This window comes from Homo sapiens, chromosome 6 (assembly GCF_000001405.40).
Source record: "Homo sapiens chromosome 6, GRCh38.p14 Primary Assembly".
NCBI lineage: Eukaryota > Metazoa > Chordata > Mammalia > Primates > Hominidae > Homo > Homo sapiens.
This window is the reverse complement of record NC_000006.12, coordinates 81,338,827-81,348,076: the sequence shown is the minus strand read 5'-3', so window position 1 is coordinate 81,348,076 and position 9,250 is coordinate 81,338,827. Positions and strand designations below refer to the sequence as shown.

At 44.0% G+C, this 9,250-nt stretch overlaps 1 annotated feature.

Annotated features, from left to right (window-relative positions):
• Positions 7,648 to 7,817: an enhancer, noted in NCBI's record as "experimental_96007 CRE fragment used in MPRA reporter constructs". NCBI's record gives its function as "activates a minimal promoter by MPRAs in K562 erythroleukemia cells, with activity observed for both the introgressed and non-introgressed 6:82050062 variant alleles {active_cell/tissue: K562}" and the evidence as "EXISTENCE:reporter gene assay evidence [ECO:0000049][PMID:34662402]".

Below are 9,250 nucleotides of genomic sequence, written 5' to 3'. Positions count from 1 at the left end.
CCTGGACTATAGCCGCATCTCATTGCTGCCCTTCTTCCCAATCCAAAGCCTCCTTTGCGTCCTTCTCTTGTATTCCCCCACCTTAACCCACAAGTATAAGATACCTCTACTCCCTCCTTGGTGACCAATCATGCGCCCCTTACCATCTCATTAAAACCTAATCACCCTTACCCCACTCAATGCCAATATCCCATCCCAGAGCACGCTTTAAAAGGATTAAAGCCTGTTATCACTCACCTGCTACAGCATGGGCTTCTAAAACCTATAAACTCTCCTTACCATTCCCCCATTTTACCTGTCCTAAAACCAGACAAGCCTTACAAGTTAGTTCAGAATCTGTGCCTTATCAACCAAATTGTTTTGCCTATCCAACCCATGGTGCCAAACCCATATACTCTCCTATCCTCAATACCTCCCTCTACTACCCATTATTCTGTTCTGGATCTCAAACATGCTTTCTTTACTATTCCTTTGCACCCTTCACCCCAGCCTCTCTTTGCCTTCACTTAGTTTGACCCTGACACCCATTAGGCTCAGCAAATTACCTGGGCTGCACTGCCGCAAGGCTTCACAGACAGCCCCCATTACTTCAGCCAAGCCCAAATTTCATCCTCATCTGTTACCTATCTTGGCATAATTCTCATAAAAACACACGTGCTCTCCCTGCTGATCATGTCCGATTAATCTCCCAAACCTCAATCCCTTACAAAACAACAACTCCTTTCCTTCCTAGGCATGGTTAGTGTGGTCAGAATTCTTACACAAGAGCCAGGACCACACCGTGTAGCCTTTCTGTCCAAACAACTTGACCTTACTGTTTTAGCCTAGCCCTCATGTCTGTGTGCAGCAGCTGCTGCTGCTTTAATACTGTTAGAGGCCCTAAAAATCACAAACTATGCTCAACTCACTCTCTACATTTCTCATAACTTCCAAAATCTATTTTCTTCCTCATACCTGACACATATACTTTCTGCTCCCTGGCTCCTTCAGCTGTACTCACTATTTAAGTCCCACAATTACCATTGTTCCTGGCCCGGACTTCAATCTGGCCTCTCACATTATTCCTGATACCACACCTGACCCCCATGACTGTATCTCTCTGATCCACCTGATATTCACCCCATTTCCCCATATTTCCTTCTTTCCTGTTCCTCACCCTGATCATGCTTGATTTATTGATGGCAGTTCCACCAGGCCTAATCGCCACACACCAGCAAAGGCAGGCTATGCTATAGTACAAGCCACTAGCCCACCTCTCAGAACCTCTCATTTCCTTTCCATCATGGAAATCTATCCTCGAGGAAATAACTTCTCAGTGTTCCATCTGCTATTCTACTACTACACAGGGATTATTCAGGCCCCCTCCCTTCCCTACACATAAAGCTCGAGGATTTGCCCCCACCCAGGACTGGCAAATTAGCTTTACTCAACATGTCCCGAGTCAGGAAACTAAAATACCTCTTAGTCTAAATAGACACTTTCACTGAATAAGTAAAGACCTTTCCTACAGGGTCTAAGAAGGCCACCACAGTCATTTCTTCCCTACTGTCAGACATAATTCCTCAGTTTAGCCTTCCCACCTCTATACAGTCTGATAACAGACCAGCCTTTATTAGTCAAATCAGCCAAGCAGTTTTTCAGGCTCTTAGTATTCAGTGAAACCTTTATATCCCTTACGGTACTCCATCTTCAAGAAAAGTAGAACGGACTAAAGGTCTTTTAAAAACACACCTCACCAAGCTCAGCCACCAACTTAAAAAGGACTGGACAATACTTTTATCACTTTCGCTTCTCAGAATTCAGGCCTGTCCTCAGAATGCTACAAGGTACAGCCCATTTGAGCTCCTGTATAGACGCTCCTTTTTTTTTTTTATTTAAGTTTTAGGGTACATTTGCACATTGTGCAGGTTAGTTACATATGTATACATGTGCCATGCTGGTGCGCTGCACCCACTAACTTGTCATCTAGCATTAGGTATATCTCCCGATGCTATCCCTCCCCCCTCCCCCCACCCCACAACAGTCCCCAGAGTGTGATGTTCCCCTTCCTGTGTCCATGTGATCTCATTGTTCAATTCCCACCTATGAGTGAGAATATGTGGTGTTTCGTTTTTTGTTCTTGAGATAGTTTACTGAGAATGATGATTTCCAATTTCATCCATGTCCCTACAAAGGACATGAACTCATCATTTTTTATGGCTGCATAGTATTCCATGGTGTATATGTGCCACATTTTCTTAATCCAGTCTATCATTGTTGGACATTTGGGTTGGTTCCAAGTCTTTGCTATTGTGAATAGTGCTGCATGTGTGTGAATAAACATACGTGTGCATGTGTCTTTATAGCAGCATGATTTATAGTCCTTTGGGTATATAACCAGTAATGGGATGGCTGGGTCAAATGGTATTTCTAGTTCTAGATCCCTGAGGAATCGCCACACTGACTTCCACAATGGTTGAACTAGTTTACAGTCCCACCAACAGTGTCAAAGTGTTCCTATTTCTCCACATCCTCTCCAGCACCTGTTGTTTCCTGACTTTTTAATGATTGCCATTCTAACTGGTGTGAGATGGTATCTCATTGTGGATTTGATTTGCATTTCTCTGATGGCCAGTGATGATGAGCATTTTTTCATGTGTCTTTTGGCTGAATAAATGTCTTCTTTTGAGAAGTGTCTGTTCATGTCCTTCGCCCACTTTTTGATGGGGTTGTTTGTTTTTTTCTTGTAAATTTGTTTGAGTTCTTTATAGATTCTGGATATTAGCCCTTTGTCAGATGAGTAGGTTGCGAAAATTTTCTCCCATTTTGTAGGTTGCCTGTTCACTCTGATGGTAGTTTCTTTTGCTGTGCAGAAGCTCTTTAGTTTAATTAGATCCCATTTGTCAATTTTGGCTTTTGTTGCCATTGCTTTTGGTGTTTTAGACATGAAGTCCTTGCCCATGCCTATGTCCTGAATGGTAATGCCTGGCTAGCCATATGTAGAAAGCTGAAACTGGATCCCTTCCTTACACCTTATACAAAAATCAATTCAAGATGGATTAAAGACTTAAACGTTAGACCTAAAACCATAAAAACCCTAGAAGACACTCCTTTTTATTAGGCCCCAGTCTCATTCAACACCAGACCAACTTAGACTGTCCCTCAAAAAAACTTGTCATCCCTACTATCTTTTGTCTAGTCATACTCCTATTCACCATTCTCAACTACTCATACATGCCCTGCTCTTATTTACACTGCTGGTTTACACTGTTTCTCCAAGCCATCACAGCTGATATCTCCTGGTGCTATCCCCAAACTGCCACTCTAAACTCTTGAAGTAAATAAATAATCTTTGCTGGCAGGACTATGCTGAATCTCCTTAGGCACTCTCTAATCAGATGTCCTAGGTCCTCCCAATTCTTAGACCTTTTATACCTGTTTTTCTCCTTCTCTTATTCCAGTTTTTCAATTCATACAAAACTGTATCCAGGCCATCACCAGTCATTCTATACGACAAATGTTTCTTCTGATAACCCCACAATATCACCCCTTACCACAAGATCTTCCTTTAGCTTAATCTCTCCCACTCTAGGTTTCCACACCGCCCCTAATCCTGCTTGAAGCAGCCCTGAGAAACATCGTCCATTCTCTCTCCATACCACCCCCAAAAATTTTCGCCGCCCCAACACTTCAACACTATTTTGTTTTCTTTTTCTTATTAATATAAGAAGGCAGGAATGTCAGGCCTCTGAGCCCAAGCCAAACCATCGCATCCCCTGTGACTTGCACGTATACGTCCAGATGGCCTGAAGTAACTGAAGAATCACAAAAGAAGTGAAAAGGCCCCGTCCCGCCTTAACTGATGACATTCCACCATTGTGATTTGTTCCTGCCCCACCTTAACTGAGTGACTAAACCTGTGAATTTCCTTCTCCTGGCTCAGAAGCTCCCCCACTGAGCACCTTGTGACCCCCACCCCTGCCCATCAGAAAACAACCCCCTTTGACTGTAATTTTCCATTACCTTCCCAAATCCTATAAAACGGCCCCAGCCCATCTCCCTTCACTGACTCTCTTTTTGGACTCAGCCTGCCTGCACCCAGGTGAATAAACAGCCTTGTGGCTCACACAAAGCCTGTTTGGTGGTCTCTTCACATGGACGCGCATGAAAGTGGTCACCTTCCCACCTAGGCTTAGGGATTCTTAGTTGGCCTAGGAAATCCAACTAGTCCTGTCTCTCAGTCCCCCCTCTCAACAGGAAAATCCAAGTGCTGTCGGGGAGGTTGGCCGACAACTGCTGCAACTGCTTCCTGCTGAATTGGGGCATAGTAGGGGTCATGCAGTTGAGATTTCCTTGGGAGGGGTGACTTCGATGTCATTAACATTGGAGCTTGGGCTAGTAGGCCGGTCCAGGGGTCCGTGGTAGATCTTAGTCATGGACTGCATCTGGGGCTCCATTTGAAGAATGATTTGTAGTTTTACAGCTTTGATTCTGGAAGAGAAAAACTTAACAAGGAGGTTAAAGATGCAGGGATTGAAATATATGGCCTGCAGTGCAGGGGATTACTTCTTTGGCACACTTTACAGACCCAGACTATCTGCTTGATAGTTTTGAAAAGGCCTGGTCCAGTAAATAATAATTTGGCCATCTGATGGGTGCTATCAATGCCTAAGTGAAAGGTTGGGTGAAGGATTTTAAGTAATTTCTATTGGTTAGCTGCAGGCAAAATATTATTCCTTCTTTGGTGGCTAGCCATCTGGAGAGGAGGAAACTATGTCTTCATGAGGTTCCTCATTCTAGTTCTTCTTCTGAGTACTGGGGCTTGGTTTCCTGGAGGGGATTACCCCATACTCGGGGTCCTTCTGTAAGCATTTCTAATGGAGGGTCCTGCCTTGTGGCTCTTTTGGCTTCAATATCCGCTTGGTGGTTCCTTTCTATTTCTCTTTCCTTTCCTTTCTGATGACCCCAGCAGTGTAAGACTGCCATCTCTTTAGGTTCCTGTACAGCCAATAATAATTTCCTAATGGCTTCCTGATGTTTGATAGGTGTTCCCTTGAAAGTTAGGAATTTCCTTTCTCTCCATATTGCTGCATGGGCATGGAGGGCTAGGTAAGCATACTTAGAGTCTGTATATATATTTACCCTTTTTCCTTCTCCTGATTCTAGTGTCTGAGTGAGGGCTATTAGTTTTGCCAGCTGAGCACTAGTTCCTGGAGGGAGGGGATTACTTTCAAGTATTCCATTATCACTGACAACTGCATACCCCACTTTTTGAAGTCCTTTTTCTGCAAAGGAACTTCCATCAGTATACAAGTTGAGGTCAGGATCAGTCAAGGGAACCTCTAAAAGGTCCCTTCAAGTGGCATAGGTTTGAGCAATTGCTTGTTGACAATTATGTTCCATCTTTTCTTCATTGTCTGGAAGAAATTTGGCTGGGTTGAGAGTTGCACATGTGTGCAGTCGCAGCACTGGCCTTTCAAGTAATAGAGCCTGATATTTGTCTGACAGCCACAAGTCTCCTTTAGCAGTGAGTATGCTGTTCACATCATGAGATGTCCACACAGTAAGATCTCTTCCCTGTATTATTTTAACGGCTTCAGATACTAAGCCTGCTACTGTCAGCACTACCTGTAAACAGTGAGGCCAACCCTTTGCCACTACATCAATTTCCTTACTCAGGTATGCCATGGGTTGCAAGCTCTTCCCTCGGACCTGAGTAAGGACTACTAGAGCTATTCCTTTTTTTCTGTGACTTATAAAGAAAAGTCTTGTCCCCTTGGCAAGCTTAACACTGTGGCTTGGGTTAGGGCCTTCTTTAGGGCCTGGAAAGCCACTTCTGCCTCAGGTGTCCATCTTACTAAATGGGTATTGGCTTTCTGAGTTTCCTTAATTAGTGTATATAATGGTCTGGCTATTTCACCATACCTGGGAATCCATATTCCGCAGAAACCTGTTATGCCAAGGAACGCTCTTAGTTGCTTTAGGGTTTTGGGATGAGGATAAGCCAGTGTAGGCTGGATACATTCCTCACTGAGGGCCCTGGTGCCTTTGGATAATTTTAGCCCTAAGTATTTAACCTGCTGTGAGCAGAGCTGAGCCTTTCATTTGGAAACCTTGTAGCCACAGGTAGCGAGGAAATTTAAGAGCTCTTGGGTGGCTTGATGGCACAAGGTTTCTGAACAGGTGGCTAAAATTAAATCATCCATGTACTGAAGGACAAAAGTGTCCAGGTATGAGAATTGGCTCAAGTCTTGGGCTAATGCCTGGCCAAATAAAAGGGGGCTATCCTTGAACCCTTGGGGTAAAACAGTCCAGGTGAATTGAGATGTTGGGTTCGAAGGATCTTCAAAGGCAAACAAGAATTGACAGTCAGGATGTACAGGGATGCAGAAAAAGGCATCCTTAAGGTCCACGACTGTAAGCCACTCTGCTTCCTCTGGTATTTGGGAAAGCAGAGTATAAGGGCTAGGTACAGCTGGGTATAGAGGAAAAACAGCCTGGCGGAATTCTTTAGTTTAACTTGAACAGAATGGGTATTCTTTGCTCATCTATATTGTCCTTCTGTTGCCTAGACTTTAGGATTAATTCCTTCCTCAAGCAAGGGACAACAAACGGGTGTTCCTTCTCCTATGTTCAGATGTATAATGGCTCCTGCTTTTGCTAGAATGTCTCTCCCTAATAAGGGAGTGGGGCTTTCAGGCATAATTAGAAAAGCATGTGAAAAGAGTGAAGTTCCCTAGTCACAACTTAGTGGCTGGGAGAAGTATCTAGTGAGTGATTGTCCTAGGACCCCTCAGATAGTGATAGATCCGGAGGACAGTTGTCCAGGACAGGAGAGTAAGACTGAGAAGGCCACACCAGTGTCCAGGAGACAGTTAACTTCCCGGCCCTCAATAGTCAAGCATACTCAGGGCTCTGCGAGGATGATGGCATGGGCTGGTGGTTGCCCCAGGCACCCTCAGTCCTGCTGCTGGATCATCCGGTTAGTGGCTTTTGACTCAGAGGAACTTCACCCCTGGGGCAGTGGGCCTTCCAGTGATTTCCTTGACATAAGAGGCATGGATGAGGGGGCAGTTTACTTCTACTTGGACAATCTTTTTTAAAGTGTCCTTGTAGACCACACTGGAAGCAAGCCCTATTAGGCATTCAATTTTCTCAGCTTTTCCCTTTTCCAGAGCCTCCAAAGTCCACTTGCCTGAGGGCCATGGCTAAAGCGGTGGCCTTCTTTTTTTTTTATCCCATTTGTCCCATTCTGCCTGCTCCTCCTGATCTCTATTATAAAAAACCAAGGTTGCCAAGTTCAATAGGGTTTCTAAGTTTTGCTCCGGGCCTAAGGCAGATTTTGAAGTTTTTTTTTCTAACGTCTGCAGCTCACTGAGTGATAAACTAATCCTTTAAGATTAGTTGGCCTTCAATAGAGTCAGATGACTGAGAGGTATGCTTCCTCAATGCCTCCCTTAGTCTCTCCAGAAAGGCGGTAGGATTTTCTTCCTTTCCCTGTGTTATAGTGGATATCATTGAATAATTCATAGTCTTCCTAGTTTTCCTTAGTCCTTTTAGCACGCAAGTTAGCAAATGTCTGTGGCACCAATCTCCACGTTCTGATTCTGTGTCCCAGTGAGGGTCTACACTGGGAACTGCCTGCTGGCCTGTGGGGGAATTTTTTCCCTTTCCTCTGTTGTCATCCTATCATTGACCTGACTGAGATACCAGAGATCGCCAAATTCTTGGGCTGCAGTTATGGCGGCACTTCTATTATTTGGGGCTAGTGTCTGATTTAGCAGTAACGTATCTCTCCATGTCAGATCAAAGGATTGTCTTAACCCTTGTAAAATATCAGTATAGCCATCAGAGTTATCTGAGAATTTACCTAGGTCTATTTTAATTTGGTTTAAGTCTGAGAGAGAAAAAGGTACATGCACTCTCGCTGGGCCAAATTCTCCTCCTCCCACTGCTTGCAGGGGGCATAATCGGGAATATTGGCACTGTTTGCTTCATTGTTTACCCCTTTATCTATCTCCTTTTAGACCATTTGGGTTGAAGGGGGGTCCTTATTAGTTGGGGAAGGAGTGGGGGGAAGCTGGGATAGGGAGGTAAACTCTGAGGGCTTCCTGTAGGGCATAAACCACACTTTTTACATAATTGCAAGTTGTCTCTTAATGAAAAGAAAGTTTGCACATATGGCATTTCACTCCATTTACCTTTTTCCTACAAAAGGGGTCTAGCTGTAAGATGATGTTATAATTTATACCTCCCGCAGAAGGCCAGGTTTCTCCCCATTGAAGAGGGTATTGTGGCCAGGCTGCAGTGCACAATATAAGTCATTTCTTTCTTAGTGTCTGAGGGTCAAATTGGTCCTAATTCGCCAGAATGCATCTTAGGGGTGTTTTTGCCTTGGGGGAAATGTTTCCCATCTGAAAAAAAGAACATAGGGATTCCAGCACCCCTAGTCATTTTCTGATGAGCATTAGTCCTAGAGCGTCCTCTATGGTCCTAATGCTTATTCCTTCCCAGGGTGCGTAACAACCCATGGACCTCTGCTTATCAGATTAGTTATGCTCACTGATGTAGCAGTCCTGCATCTGTTTTCCCACCTCTCTTGACCACAAAGAAAGGGGTCTGGGCTGCTGGATTCTAGTGGTCCTTTACCAGCGTGCCCAACATTGCCTTTGCACTCAGGGGTGAGTCCTAGAGCTGGGCTGGGTTCCTGAGTATTTCATAACAACCCAGCTGCCCCATCAAGATGCATTCCCATAAAAGCAGTTCTTATGCAAATTCATTTCAGAGAGGGTGTAGGTAACCTTTTGAGTCAGGATTCGGATAGTGTTTTTGATTCTGTAAGTACTTTAAGGTTTGGCTAAGTGCAAACAGCTCGCACATTTGAGGAGACCAGTTATTAGGCAATTTTTCTAACTCTGCTTCTACAAGAGTCTCCGTATCAATTACTGAATACCCATTGTGGTTTTTTCCTCAATCACCTGGGAGGAAACATCTATAGTCCTGTCCTGAAGGGAGTTCCTCCTAGGTCTGGTCAGACCTTTGTATGGTAATTAAAATTTAAATCCCTTGTTAGGAAATCTGCTGGGTTAAGGGAATTATCAGTGGTTGGAGTTACATTACCCTTTTCTAACATAATAGACCCATACTTTAAGATTTTTGAGTTAGTAAGCTACCTTTTTCCTTTTTTTTTTTTTTTTTTTTTTGACTTAGAGTAATTCTGAACTGGTGAGGTGTGCTCACAATGAGGTTTCCTCTAAAAGTTACTTTTCTA